The sequence below is a fragment of the Homo sapiens genome, chromosome 13 (genome assembly GCF_000001405.40).
Source record: "Homo sapiens chromosome 13, GRCh38.p14 Primary Assembly".
NCBI classification, from domain to species: Eukaryota; Metazoa; Chordata; class Mammalia; order Primates; family Hominidae; genus Homo; species Homo sapiens.
The window spans coordinates 113952671-113968081 of record NC_000013.11 but is presented as its reverse complement, the minus strand read 5'-3'; the positions used below and the strand labels follow the sequence as shown (position 1 = coordinate 113968081).

Below are 15411 nucleotides of genomic sequence, written 5' to 3'. Positions count from 1 at the left end.
CTCCCTCCAAGCTGTGTGGTGGGGACGGTAACACAACCAGACACGCTGCTTGCCAGGCGGGCCTTGCTTTCATTCCAGGGCTCTTGGGAAGTCCTTCACCCACCCCCAGACACTGCCCTTGGAGTTGACTCAAATGCTCCCATCAGACACACGTTCTGGGCTGGCCCAGGTGCCCCGTTGGAGGCCTTGGGACAGCAAAACCCTGAGCCGCTGAAGCCGTTCACATCCCGGGGGGGGTCTCCTGCTCCTTGGTGTGGAGTGTGGCCCACAGGCAGGCTGTGGGGCAGGAGTGCTGCCTTGTCGAGCAGGGCTGGGGTGGGAGCAGCCCGGCTCCCCAAGATCTGGGCATTGCCCCATCTCCTGGAGGCCCGAGTTCTCAGAGGATGAGGTTGGAGGAGACCCTCTGGGGTCTCAGGGCCCTGATGGGAGGTGAGTAGGGAGGGGTGAGAAAGCCATATCCCTCCTACATCCTTCTCCTACATGGGCACCTCACAGTCCATACTGCCGTCAGCTCTGCCCAGCGTCCCAGGAGCCCTCGTTCAGCATTGCCAGGATCTGGGGACCTGATGGTCATCACCAGGGTCTGCCCCGGCTGCCCCAAGGGCCAGGGGCCACTGTTCCTCCCAGGGAATCAACGTTCCTCTCCAGCTCACCCAAGCCTGCCATCCACACCTCTGTGGTTTCCATTCGCAGAAAGCATCTGTGTTTGTGGAGATTGATCTGGGAGACCATGCTGAGGAGGTAAAAATGGAAAACCGCAAGACAAGCAGAGCCAAAGCCACCAGGAAAGCGCCTGTGCTGCCTGGCAGGGCCAGCCTGGGAGGCTTTTCTGGGAACTTACCCCACAATAGCCATGTGTTGGATAGGGAGGCAGAGACCTGGGGCCAGCAGCTCCAGGAGAGCTCCCTGGTGTTGAGGATTGGTCTAGCCTCTTCCTTACCCTCCCACACTCCAACTCACGCACACTTCAGCACTATCAGAGACTCTGGGGCCTGGGTTAACCTTCAAGGTGCCCATGGGTCCTCAGAACCTCTTGTGGGGGATCACGTTGGGATGGTGAAAAGGGCACAGGCCTGGAAGCTCAGAGACTGGGCTTTGGTGGATGTGTGGTTCTGTCAGTAAATGCTCAAAACAACTCATCATACTTCCCTGTGCCTCAGTTGTCTCCTCTATAAAGTAGGAATCATATTAGTACCCGCATTCCAGGGTTGTCTGGGAAAGCTCTCAGAGCAGTGCCTCACACCCAGGAAAGCTTATCATCATCATCATGGGGTATCATCATCATCATCACCACCATTACTATCCTCAGCATCAACACCATCATTATATCACAACCATCATCATCATCACCACCAGCAACATCATCCCCATAAACATTATCACCATCATCATTAATATCACCATCATTATCACATCACCACCATCATTCCCATCAGCAGCATCATCATCATCATCACTATCATGACCATCATCACTGTCACCATCATCATCACCATCACCACTATCACTATCACCATCATCGTCACTATTACCATCACCATTATTACCATCATCACCTTCACCATCATCACCACCATTATAATCACCATCACCATCATCATCACCATTATAATCATCACCACCGTCATCATCACCATTAATACCATCACCATCATTATCACATCATCATCATCATCACCATCATTAATACCATCACCATCATCATCATCACCATCATTAATATCATCACCGTCATTATCACATCACCACCATCATTCCCATCACCAGCATCATCATCACCATCACTATCATGACCATCATCACCACCATCACTGTCACCATCATCATCACCATCACCACTATCGCTATCCCCATCATCACCACCATTATAATCACCATCATCATGACCATCATCACCATCATCATCATCACCATCACCACTATCACCGTCACCATTGTCATCATCACCATTATAATCACCATCATCACCATCATCATCATCACCATCATTAATACCATCATCACATCACCACCATCATTCCCATCACCAGCATCATCATCACCATCACTATCATGACCATCATCACCACCATCATCATCATCACCACTATCACTGTCACCATCATCACCAACATTATAATCACCATCACCATCATCATCACCATCATAATCATCATCATTGTCACCATCACCATCGCCATCATCACCATCACCATTACCACCATCATCACCATCACCATCATCACCACCATCACCATCATCACCATCACCATTATCACCATCATCACCTTCACCATCATCACCACCATTATAATTACCATCATCACCATCACCATCATCACCATCACCATCATCACCATCATCACCTTCACCATCATCACCACCATTATAATCACCATCACCATTGTCACCATCATCATCACCATCACCATTATAATCACCATCATCATTGTCACAATCATCATCACTGTCATCATCACCACCATCACCAGTATAGTCACCGTCATCATCACCACCATTATAATCATCATCATCACCATCGTCATCACCATCAACATTATCACCACCATAATCATCATCCTTATCTGTAAGAAGAAGAGGCTGACTTAATGACCTGTCTGGGCACTTCCAACACTAACATCTGGGGTGTGTTCCTCCATGTCTTTGCTGTAGTGAACAGTCATCATTCTGGAAGTTTATTGAAGTTCTTTCTTGGCAAGTTTAAGCTCCTTCCTGGGGGTCAGTTATTTTCCAGACTGTACCTTCTCTCCCTTTTGCCCTCAGAGCCACAGAGAGAGCTGGTTGTTAACCCCCAACAAGGCTATTCTTGGGGCACATGAGTTCTAAGGACTCAAGGAGGGCCAGTCAGTGGCACAGTTGGGCTGACAGGCCAGACCTGGTCTTCAGTCCAGGAGCCAGGCCTCATCAAGGGTGCAGTTCCTTGGTCAGGTTCCCCTAACTGGAAATGTCCAGTCAATAGAGAGCCCTGTCTGATGGGAGGTCATCCAGCCTCTGTGCCCTAGCCTGATCCTCCAGCAGGTCCACAGGCTATGCCTCAGTGCCCGTGGCTGACACCTCCCATCCCTTAAATGTCTCCACTCCCCACAGGTGGTCACCGATGCCAAGAAGGAAGAGAAGCCGTCCCAGATGGATGTGGAAGATCTGTCAGAAGACGAGTGAGTGATGCTTGTGGGCTCACACTAGGTGGGGGTAGGAGGACTTTCCCCCCACCACGGTCTCTGGTGTGCCCACCATGCCTTGTGTGTGGTGGGCAGAGCCGAGCCCAGGCGGTCCCCCCTTCTCCCTGGGCACTGCCGAGGCTCAGCACCTGCCGAGCCTGAGGGACTGAGGGCAGGGAACAGGACATCGGACCTTCGAAGGGCTCAGGGACGAGCTTCACGATGCCCCACCTCACCCCATAACCAGGCCGTGTCTCCTACCCACCAGCCAGGAAAAGGACCTGATGAGAAGGGGGAAGAGGAGGGAGAGTAGGGAGGAAGGAGGGGGGAGAGGTGATAAGTGCATGGTACTGACTTCTCCTGTTTAGGTTTTAGCTGCAGACTTGGGTCCTGCAGGTAGTGGGAAGCCGTGCATACACGGCTGGTGTCACAGCCAAGCAGGCTTCTCTCACAACAAGCCTCGGGCCCTGGGGCCGGGGCTAGGCAGCCTCCGAAGAGATGATCCGTGTCCCCAGGCTGGATGCTGTGTAGGTCCAGGGAAGCCCCAAGACTCCCCGAGGCCCGAGGCCCTGAAGATGGGTGTGGGGAGAGAAGACACTGGCCCATTGAAGGGGGCCCATGGATCTATAGTGTTTTATTTTAAGCAACACACAAAAATACAAAAAGCAATTGTCCAAATGCCTACCACTCAGAATTAACAGTTTATCAGTATTTTGATTTCTTACAGATTTTTTTAAAGGATGAATTGTTCTATCGGCTTTATAAAACAGTCACATGATACTAAACCTTCTTTCAGCCTGTAATCCCAGCACTTTGGGAGGTTGAGGTGGGCAGATCATGAGGTCAGGAGATCGAGACCATCCTGGCCAACATGGTGAAACCCTGTGTTTACCAAAATACAAAAAATTAGCTGGGCGTGGTGACAGGTGCCTGTAGTTCCAGCTACTAGGGAGGCCGAGGCAGGAGAATCGCTTGAACCCAGGAGGCGGAGGTTGCGGTGAACCGAGATAGCACCACTGCACTCCAGCCTGGGTGACAAGAGCGAAACTCCATCTCAAACAAACAAACAACAGTTACATTAACATTTTAACCAGTCATTTACAATAACGGGAATTATGTGGAATAGCACAACAGAGAGAAATGTTTAAAAATCACCCCAGCTTCCACCTCTTAAAAGCACATGGGAGCACCTGACTTTCGACACTGAGGACAGTGGCTGCAGCTGAGGCTGAGGACAGGGGCCGTGGCTGAGGACAGGGGCAAGGCTGAGGACGGGCGAGGCTGAGGAGAGGGGGCTGTGGCTGAGGACAAGGACTGCGGCTGAGGACAGGGGCCGAGGCTGAGGACAGGGGCGAGGCTGAGGACTGGAGCGAGGGCTGAGGACAGGGGTGAGGCTGAGGACAGGGGCGAGGCTGAGGACAGGGGCCGAGGCTGAGGACGGGCTGAGGCTGAGGACAGGGGTGAAGCTGAGGACAGGGGCCGAGGCTGAGGACAGGGCCGAGGCTGAGGACAGGGGCGAGGCTGAGGACAGGGGCGAGGCTGAGGACGGGAGAGGCTGAGGACGGGCCGAGGCTGAGGACGGGGCGAGGGCTGAGGACAGGGACCGAGGCTGAGGACAGGGGTGAAGCTGAGGACAGGGGCCGAGGCTGAGGACAGGGCCGAGGCTGAGGACAGGGGCGAGGCTGAGGACAGGGGCCGAGGCTGAGGACAGGGGCAAGGCTGAGGACGGGCTGAGGCTGAGGATAGCGGGGAGGCTGAGGACAGGGGCTGCAGCTGTACCTGCCAAGCGGCATCCTTGCCCAGGGCCAGCTTTGAGAGCTGCAGCCCTCGGCCCCCGACTGGTCTGGCTTTGCTGACGGATTGCTGCTGTGATGATGACAGCCCTACCTGCGCTACCTGCTCTCAGATTTTTATGTCTCCAGGGAGAGAGAAAGTCCTCGAGAACATTGCACTCTGCCCCAACTCAGCAGAGTCTCTGCCTCTTTTGACTCCTACCGTAACCAGGTCACACCAGCTTTCACTAGGACATTGGGGTTGTTTTGACTCCTGAGTCTGGGCTTAAAATGGGCAGGTATTTTCCAAGTACAGCTCTATTTTTCTCATCGTTTCCTGATGATGGATTTGGCACTCGGCACACAGCTCGATGGCTGTTTTCTGCCCCAAGCTGGACAATCCTGGGTCGAAATCTCCTGGTCTCAGCCTCCATCCCCCTTGACTCAGCTATCCCAGAAAACCTGCCCAGTGGGGCTGCTGGTGGCGTGCAGTGGGGAGAGCTGCCAGCAGAAACGAGCTGACGTGGCTTCTTAGGTTTGCTACCTCATCTCACAAATTCCCCCTTTGGATCACCATCCAGTTGCATTTACAAGACCCAATGCTGATTTCCCAATACCGGGAGGTTCCCGCCCAGGAAGGCCGAGAGTCCTCAGCCGTGGCTGTAATGAATGGGCATCAGCTCACGTGCACACTTGCGTGTTCATTGGAAAATGCTTTGGCAGGCTCCATCTCTTTTTTTGTTTTTGAGACACAGTCTCACTCTGTTGCCCAGGCTGGAGTGCAGTGGCACCATCTCGGCTCACTGCAAGCTCCGCCCCCCAGGTTCACGCCATTCTCCTGCCTCAGCCTCCTGAGTAGCTGGGACTACAGGCGCCCACCACCACGCCCAGCTAGATTTTTTTTGTATTTTTAGTAGAGCCAGGGTTTCGCCGTGTTAGCCAGGATGGTCTCGATCTCCTGACCTCAGGATCCACCTGCCTCAGCCTCCCGATGTGCTGGGATTACAGGCGTGAGCCACCGCACCCAGCCTCCATCTCTTTTTTAATTAGCATGATCTGGATTTTCTTTTTCCTAGTGTTGCCTTTTCCTGTACCTGCCCAACACAATACATCCCCAGGACTGTTACAGGGAAACCACAGATCACGCAGAGCACTGCACACTTCATAGCATCAGAGGGGCCACAGATCACGCAGAGCTCTGCACACTTCATAGTTCCAGAGTAGCCACAGATCACACATAGCTCTGCACAGTTCATAGTTCCAGAGTAGCCACAGATCATGGAGAGCACTGCACACTTTATAGCATCAGAGGGGCCACAGATCACGCACAGCTCTGCACACTTCATAGTTCCAGAGTAGCCACAGATCACACAGAGCACACAGAGCACTGCACACTTCACAGCATCACAGTAACTACAGATTGGAAAAAAAATGGATAACCAGTGAACAAAACTGGAACCACTTTTGTATATTATGTCATTAATTGTGCTCTTAATATTTCCCACCTTTTTGTACCCATATTTATTACAGTCCTTTCCACAAAAAGCAGTTTTGGACTAGAGCTGATTATAAATGTTTTTAGAGAATACTTCAGAACAATGACTACAGATGCAAAACCTTAGAACAGCCACAGTTAAAATTTGATGAAAGCTTCTAACCAACAAGAAAACAGTTATTTCTATTACACATAACATTGTAAGAAAACAACCAAAATCATGACTGACAGTGTCACATCAGGACTGCCCAGCTTCTATACATTTTCACATAATCTTTAGAATATTCACACGGATAACATGCCCATACAAATATAGTTTACAATTGGACATTATCAAAATTATGACTGATATTATATTAATATAAATGTATGTAATTTTTAGAACATTTATATCAATAACATGCTCACAATTAAAACTAAAAGAAGATTTAGTATCATTTATCATTTGATGATGCTACCCATAGAGTTTTACCAAATGTAATTGTTTAATCTGAAAAGACTTTATGTAGGATTTTGATTCTGTGGAAACCTGCAAAAGATGTCAAAAGGTTCAAAACAATCAAAACAGAATTACAGATCATTTAAAAATAATAGTCACTCATTTAACCAGAGTGATTATCAAAAGACTTCACAGGCAATTTAGGAAGTTACATTGCTGTAAAAACCATAACCCTTTTAAAGCTCAGTTGTCTTAAGTAATCAAAATCTAATAAAGATAAAGGAGAAATTATCTTGATAAAATATAAAATATTTGGTTTTTAAGCCAGTTACCAAAAGGTACAGAAAAACCTGCAGTGTGATTGCCTCTCCTTGAGGGAAGCCCATGCAGGTAACCTGGAAGTCAGATCCGATGGAACCTCGCCTGACACAGGAAGAGCATCTTCAGGGCTGTGGGTGTGCACTTGATTACAGAGGACAGTAAACAAGGAAACTAGGGCCTTGAGCTGGGGAACACACAGCTGTTGGTAACAGCATGAGAAGTTGCCTGATTATGTTGAACAATTCAGACATAGCAAGAAAAGCCAAGTGTATAAATTGAAGCTGCACTTAAGGAAAACGTTGCTTAAACAGCAGAGTTAGAACTGGAGGAAAAAGTTGCAGGACTTGACAAAAAGTTTGAAGGAGAAAGTTGTTATCCCAGGCCTTCTTAAGGGGAGAAAGAGCTGAGGCAGCCACGCACGACCTGCAAACCACACGTGACAAGGGACAGCAGAAGCTGAGTTTCTGAGATGTAGACCTGAGCAGTTTCAAAAGAAATGATTTCAGAGTTAAAAATCAAAACCTCTTGCAATTTCATTAAGAGCAAACCAGTACTTTAAGGAAACTTTGTGGTGACATAGGGGACCAATCTTTAGTTTTGTATTAATGTATATTTAATATCAAAGCTCAATCTTTTTTTTTGAGACAGAGTCTCGCTCTGTCGCCCAGGCTGTAGTGCAGTGGCACGATCTCAGCTCACTGCAAGCTCCGCCTCCTGGGTTCACGCCATTCTCCTGCCTCAGCTCCCAAGTAGCTGAGACTACAGGCGCCCACCACCATGTCTGGCTAATTTTTTTTTTTGTATTTTTAGTAGAGACAAGGTTTCACCATGTTAGCCAGGATGGTCTCGATCTCCTGACCTCATGATCTGCCTGCCTTGGCCTCCCAAAGTGCTGGGATTACAGGCATGAGCCACCATGCCTGGCCCAAAGCTCAATCTTTAGAAGGACATATAAATAATTCCCTTTTAATCACAGCCAACTTACACACAGAATTCTTTTCAAAATTATCTTTTCATAAACCTTATCATGACTTTTACAGACCATTCTGACATGCTTGGACTTTGTGCTTTGTCCTACACTTCTTTTTAAAATAGCCAGTCATTTTGCTTCAGGATAAAAAGAGAGATAACTTGGACAAGTCCACATGTTAACTCTATCATCGCAGATTGCCATTTGAGCTCCAAATTTTCCTTGATATAATTTGCTCATTGGTTTAAAATAAGCAAAAGAGTGGGCCAGTGACAGCCTTAGAAAGCCTGGTATGCCTTAATGTTTAAGAACACCATTTTTGACCATTTCTGCATTAAATCTCCTTTCATGAACCCCTCCCATCTAGAAGGGCTCCATGTGTCACACGCCTGCTGGGCACTGACTGGAGGTTGGTTGTCCAGTGCCTGTTGTTTCACTTTGTTATGATTCATTTCCCACTGGGAGTCAGATTAAAAGGGGAAGCACCTGCTCAACCTGGCCAGACAGCTTCACACATCCTAGCCAATCAGACAGCCTCACACATTCTACCCAATCAGACAACCTCACACATCCTAGCCAATCATGCAGCCTCACACATTCTACCCAATCAGCCTCACACATCCATTTCTTCCTAGAATCTTTTCCTTTTCTTTTTTGAGGCAGATCTCACTCTGTCACCCAGGCTGGAGTGTAGTGGTGTGTTCCCAGCTCACTGCAACCTCCACCCCCTGGGCTCAAGTGATTCTCCTGCCTCAGCCTCCCAAGTAGCTGGGACCACAAGTGCCATCATGCCCAGCTAATTTTTTATTTTAGTAGAGATGGGGATCTCCCTATGTTGGTCAGGCTGGTCTTTAACTCCTGAGCTCAAGTGATCCACCTGCCTCAACCTCCCAAGTGCTGGGATTACAAGCATGAGTCACAGCACCTGGCCCCTAGTATCTTTCAACTAGGAGAATTTTTCTCCTTAACAAATGAAAAGTCTCCAAAACTCAGGGCTGTCAGCCAAGCAGGAGGTCTGAGCCCTAGCACAGCCCCAGGAGAGGACCCAGAGAGACCCCAGGAGAGACCCCACCACGTGCAGCTGTGCAGGGGCCAGAGAGGCCCCAAGGGCCTGTGCTGGGGTCAAGGTGCCAGGTCCCTGCAGTGTCCCTGGGCAGTCCGCTAGGAGTCCCTTCATGGGCACGATGATTGCCAATTAAGGAAAAAAAAGCTTTTCAAGAGTTTGTTTTACGTGGAAGTCTTAGTGAGGACTGTGCACTGAGGCTGTCGCCCGCGAGCCGTCTGTCCATTGCCCCACGCCGTGTTTCTGTTCACGGTTCCTGGACAGGCGGCGGGGGCTGGGCGCATGCAGAATCACATCAAGGTTTGAGTGCGAGGGCATGTTTGGCTGTAGATTACAGAGGCGTAATCACGAACCGCGGCAGACGTCGTGTGCAGGAAAAGGCACGGACCCAGGTCACTGATCTTTTAAGAACATAGTGGCTCCAGGTGGGGACGGAGGCAGGGCCCTTGTGCTTTTTGCTGTTTTGTCTTCAGGCATCCTTCTGGAGACCTGCATGTCCTCCCAGTCAGGGCTCAAGCAGAAACCAGCAAACTGGGCTTCTCATCCGCCACTCACCACAGCCCCTAAGGCTTGATGAAATGGGGTGCATGCAGAGTGCAGGGGAGACCCCCAGTGCACTTGATGAAAGGGGGTGCATGTGGAGTGCAGGGGAGACCCCCAGTGCACTTGATGAAAGGGGGTGCAGGCAGAGTGCAGGGGAGACCCCCCAGTGCGCTTGATGAAAGGGGGTGCATGTGGAGTGCAGGGGAGACCCCCAGTGTGCTTGATGAAAGGGGGTGCATACAGAGTGCAGGGGAGACCCCCCCGGTGCACTTGATGAAAGGGGTGCAGGCAGAGTGTAGGGGAGATCCCCCAGTGTGCTTGATGAAAGGGGGTGCAGGCAGAGTGCAGGGGAGACCCCCCCAGTGCACTTGATGAAAGGGGGTGCATACAGAGTGCAGGGGAGACCCCAGTGTGCTTGATGAAAGGGGGTGCATATGGAGTGCAGGGGAGACCCCCAGTGCGCTTGATGAAAGGGGGTGAATACAGAGTGCAGGGGAGACCCACCAGTGTGCTTGATGAAAGGGGGTGCAGGCAGAGTGCAGGGGAGAACTCCCAGTGCGCTTGATGAAAGGGGGTACAGGCAGAGTGCAGGGGAGACCCCCAGTGTGCTTGATGAAAGGGGGTACATGTGGAGTGCAGAGGAGACCCCCAGTGTGCTTGATGAAAGGGGGTGCAGGCAGAGTGCAGGGGAGACCCCCAGTGTGCTTGATGAAAGGGGGTGCAGGCAGAGTGCAGGGGAGACCCCCCAGTGCGCTTGATGAAAGGGGGTGCAGGCAGAGTGCAGGGGAGACCCCCAGTGTGCTTGATGAAAGGGGGTGCATGTGGAGTGCAGGGGAGACCCCCAGTGTGCTTGATGAAAGGGGGTGCAGGCAGAGTGCAGGGGAGACCCCCCAGTGCACTTGATGAAAGGGGGTGCAGGCAGAGTGCGGGGGAGACCCCCCAGTGTGCTTGATGAAAGGGGGTGCATGCAGAGGTGCAGGGGAGATCCCCCAGTGTGCTTGATGAAAGGGGGTGCAGAGTGCAGGGGAGACCCCCCAGTGTGCTTGATGAAAGGAGGTGCATGCAGAGTGCAGGGGAGACCCCCAGTGCGCTTGATGAAAGGGGGTGCAGGCAGAGTGCAGGGGAGACCCCCCAGTGCGCTTGATGAAAGGGGTTGCATGCAGAGGTGCGGGGAGACCCCCCAGTGTGCTTGATAAAAGGGGATGCATATGCAGGTGCAGGGGAGACCCCCCCAGTGTGCTTGATGAAATGGGAGCATATGCAGGTACAGGGGAGACCCCCCAGTGCACTTGATGAACGGGGGTGCATATGCAGGTACAGGGGAGACTCCCCAGTGCACTTGATGAAAGGGGGTGCATACACAAGTGCAGGGCAGACCTCCCAGTGCACTTCAGGTTGGGGGTGCTGCTCTCGGGGTGCCTGTGGCCACAGTGCTGGCCCAGGACCCTTTCTCACCCACCTGCCCTCCTCTCGCCCTGCAGGATGCAGACCAGCTGGGTGTGCTGCATCCCGTACTCCACCAGGAAGAGGGCAAAGGAGAGCACCTAGCGCCCCGGAGAGGGTGCTCAGAGCTTGGCGAAGAAGAGGAAGGAGACGGGGTGCAGAGGGGCTGGGGGCACAGGAGGCGGGACGGAGGGCGATCCGGCCACCTACTTGCCGCCCAAGAGCCTTCTCTGCCAGGCACTGAGGTTTCTGTTTTCTTCTTGTGGGACTGGCCAGGCCTGGAAGGAGCGAGAGCACAGACTGCGCCTTTGGGCTAAAGATCCCGCCAGCTCTGAGCAACGCTGGGGTGCCGATGACCACACCAGGTGTGAGCCACGCCTGAAACCCACTGCCCACTGGGTGAGTGATGACGTGACCTTCAACAAACACAATAAACAAGCACGGGAAGATGCTCCTCCTCTCCACCAGATGCTCCTCCTCTCCACCAGATGCTCCTCCTCTCCACCAGATGCTCCTCCTCTCCACCAGATACTACTCCTCTCCACCAGATACTACTCCTCCTCTCCACCAGATGCTCCTCGTCTCCACCAGATGCTCCTCCTCTCCACCGGATGTTCCTCCTCTCGTCGAGATGCTCCTCGTCTCCTCGAGATGCTCCTCGTCTCCACCGGGTGCTCCTCGTCTCCACCGGATGCTCCTTGTCTCCGCCGGATGCTCCTCCTCTTCGCCAAATACTACTCCTCCTCTCCGCCAGATCCTACTCCTCCTCTCCGCCAGATACTACTCCACCTCTCCGCCAGATCCTACTCCTCCTCTCCGCCAGATCCTACTCCTCTCTGCCAGATCCTACTCCTCCTCTCCGCCAGATCCTACTCCTCCTCTCTGCCAGATCCTACTCCTCGTCTCCGCCAGATGCTCCTCCTCGTCTCCGCCAGATGCTCCTCGTCTCCGCGAGATGCTCCTCCTCTCTGCGAGATGCTCCTCCTCTCCACCGGATGCTCCTCCTCTCCTCGAGATGCTCCTCCTCTCCTCGAGATGCTCCTCGTCTCCACCGGCTGCTCCTCGTCTCCGCCGGCTGCTCCTCGTCTCCGCCGGCTGCTCCTCGTCTCCGCCGGATGCTCCTCCTCTCTGCCAGACACTACTCCTCGTCTCTGCCAGACACTACTCCTCCTCTCCGCCAGACACTACTCCTCGTCTCTGCCAGACACTACTCCTTGTCTCTGCCAGACACTACTCCTCGTCTCCGCCAGACACTACTCCTCGTCTCTGCCAGATGCTCCTCCGCTCCACGAGATGCTCCTCCTCTCCACGAGATGCTCCTCCTCTCCACGAGATGCTCCTCGTCTCCGCCAGATGCTCCTCCGCTCCACGAGATGCTCCTCGTCTCCGCCAGATGCTCCTCCGCTCCTCGAGATGCTCCTCCTCTCCACCGGATGCTCCTCATCTCCGCCGGATGCTCCTCGTCACCGCCGGATGCTCCTCGTCTCCGCCGGATGCTCCTCCTCTCCGCCGGATGCTCCTCCTCTCCACCAGATACTACTCCTCCTCTCCACCAGATACTACTCCTCTCTGCCAGATACTACTCCTCTCCGCCAGATACTACTCCTCCTCTCCGCCAGATGCTCCTCGTCTCCGCCAGATGCTCCTCGTCTCCACGGGATGCTCCTCGTCTCCACGGGATGCTCCTCCTCTCCACCAGATGCTCCTCCTCTCCTCGAGATGCTCCTCATCTCCACCGGATGCTCCTCGTCTCCACCAGCTGCTGCTCCTCTCCACCAGCTGCTCCTCATCCCCACTGGATGCTCCTCATCCCCGCCGGATGCTCCTCCTCTCCGCCAGATCCTACTCCTCCTCTCCGCCAGATCCTACTCCTCCTCTCTGCCAGATCCTCCTCCTCGTCTCCGCCAGATCCTCCTCCTCGTCTCCGCCAGATCCTCCTCCTCGTCTCCGCCAGATGCTCCTCCTCGTCTCCGCCAGATGCTCCTCGTCTCTGCCAGATGCTCCTCCTCCCCACGAGATGCTCCTCATCTCCACCGGATGCTCCTCATCTCCACCGGATGCTCCTCGTCTCCACCAGCTGCTCCTCGTCTCCACCAGCTGGAGGACTCCAGCCCCTTCCTGCCCTGGCCTCTTGCTCAGTGGCTTGTTGGGTGGGGACAGAGGCCCCTGGGGCACAGCAGGGGAGGCTCAGCCCTTTGTGGGCCTCGTGTGAGCTGCAGCTCCTGGAAGCACCCCCACCAGGCAGGAGTGAGAGGTGCAGGGCAGGGATGGAGCATCTGCTGTGTCACCAAAGTCCCTGCAGGAGCCAGGAGCACGGTGGACGCAGCTGAGCCCCGGCTGTGACTGCGAGAGCAACAGAGACTGTGGTGCTGGCACTAGGATCTGTCCCTGGAGGGAAGCCACATGCTCCCCACTCAGAGGAGGAGAGGGAGTCTTCCTAGGGGTGTGGGGGGCTCCAGGACATGCCTGTAAGACGAGTTTCACCAGAATCCACCCAGAGCCCTCTCGTTCAGACACGCACACGTGCATATTCATATGTACACAGCACATACATGCTCGTACATACCACACATGTGCACAGGAGGGCACGGGCAGGTGACCTGCAGCATCTCTGATCCGGGTGTCTCTAAGGCAGTCAGAGGCCACAGGCGGAGATGCTGTGTGCACTGTCTATTCCCGTGGAGACACATGGGGGCCGTCCCTGTGGTGCACATGATAATGCAGAGGCTCCCAGAGGGTGAGCTCTGCCCATCACTCAGCCAGGGAGGGAGGGGCCCTTTTCAGGGAGCCGCATGCCACGCAGAGCTTGTCCCACTGGGTAGTTTCCTCTGATCAAAGTGGGGCACCATCCAGGCTGCAGAGAGAAAGGGGACCCCCCAAAGCCAGCACCCACCCTTGACTGAAAGACACCACAGAAGATAAGTGCCCATCGGCCCCAGAGTCATCATTTCCCAGACAACCGGAAATGGGCCCTGGACGGGCTGTCCTGGACAGGCTGCCGGGCAGTTGGGTGTGACTCAGTTGCGGCCTCCAACTGTGCCAACCAGAAAGGCACCCAGAGAAGCTTCCGGAAATACGGTTGGTTTGTCCCCTTGGTGGGGCAGGAGGCGGCAGCTCTGCCGGGTGGCTCCCAGCACCCTCCCCCACAGAGCAAACATCGGCATGAGTCTGTCCACCCGTGTATTCGTCCTGTCGCCGCGTGTGGCTGGCCTCATTCTGGGTATGCTGGCGGCAGCCACCTCTAGGACAGGGAGGTCCCATGGCTCTGCAGACACAGGAGCTTGGCAGTGGCTTAGCTGTTAGAATGTGAGCCTTCCAGAGTCAGACGCGCCTTTGCCTTCTGTTGGGCTCTGAGCTCATTTCCTCAAACCCAGGGTAATTCTGTTCCTCCTTCACTGTCTGGTGGGGTGGGGGTCACAGTGTCCGGGGGAAGAGCTGATCAGGGCCAGTGCTGGGGTGGGAAGGGCTGACTCCTGGGACCCCGGAGAGGTGATTGTTGCCACGGGGGGTAAAGTTCCACGTGCTGCTCCTCTGAGCCTTGATTCTGGGCACTCCAGGGCGGCCAGGCCTGGCTCACACCTTCCTACCTCAGGGAGATTTCCGTGGCGCAGGCACACGCCCTGTGGGATGTGAGTGGCCACCTGGCTTGGGCCCCAACTCCCATCAGAGAAGCGGGCAGGTCCCGAGCGAGCTGTTCAGGGCACTCAGCAGCCACACACCCAAGGAATGGGGCTGCCTTGTGCCAGGCCGGGGGTCTGGGGAAGGGCTCAGTGGGCGCTGAACTCAGAGGGTCCTGGCAGCGGCAGTCAGCGTCCAGGATGGTCAGCGGTGAGGCCAAGCCCCGTCTTAGTGGAGGGGACGAGGCTGGGCTTTGGAGACTGTGGGGAGCAGGAGACATCCCTGAGGAAACAGGTCTACGCGCCGCAGAGCCCGAGAGCAGCTCCTGCCACGTGGTTGATGCTGCTGAGGCCGGGGGCTGCCTCTGCCCCGCCGCCCCGCCCAGCATGAGCGTGTTCCTGCTGCTGCCCGGCCCGTTGGGCTGAGAGGCTCAGGCAGCAGCGCTGGGGTCGATGGAGTGGACCAGGCAGGGGCCCAGGGCAGGAACCCCCTGTAGATGCACAGCCCTGAGCTCAGCAAATCAGCTGTGGTGACATCCAGGGAGGGGTGGAAGCCCAGGCTCCCCCTAGAAGGACGCTGCCCTTGGCCT

The 15411-nt window shown here is 54.1% G+C and overlaps 1 protein-coding gene across 8 annotated transcripts in view; it reads left to right on the top strand.

The window, feature by feature from the left end:
* The window catches only part of C13orf46 (chromosome 13 open reading frame 46), a 47563-nt gene that overhangs the window by 5995 nt on the left and 26157 nt on the right, over nucleotides 1–15411 (top strand). For 4 of the 8 annotated variants that reach the window (XM_047429981.1, XM_047429983.1, XM_047429982.1 and 1 more), the window contains exon 1: nucleotides 11311–14579. In XM_047429981.1, the coding sequence (XP_047285937.1) occupies nucleotides 11673–13547 (1875 nt within the window). In that variant the 5' untranslated portion in view covers nucleotides 11311–11672 and the 3' untranslated portion in view covers nucleotides 13548–14579. Of the gene's footprint in view, nucleotides 1–495; nucleotides 742–3087; nucleotides 3156–3526; nucleotides 3837–11242; nucleotides 14580–15411 lie in introns of those variants that run through there. The other 4 variants (XM_047429985.1, NM_001365455.2, XM_006719995.4 and 1 more) reach the window with 4 other exon arrangements.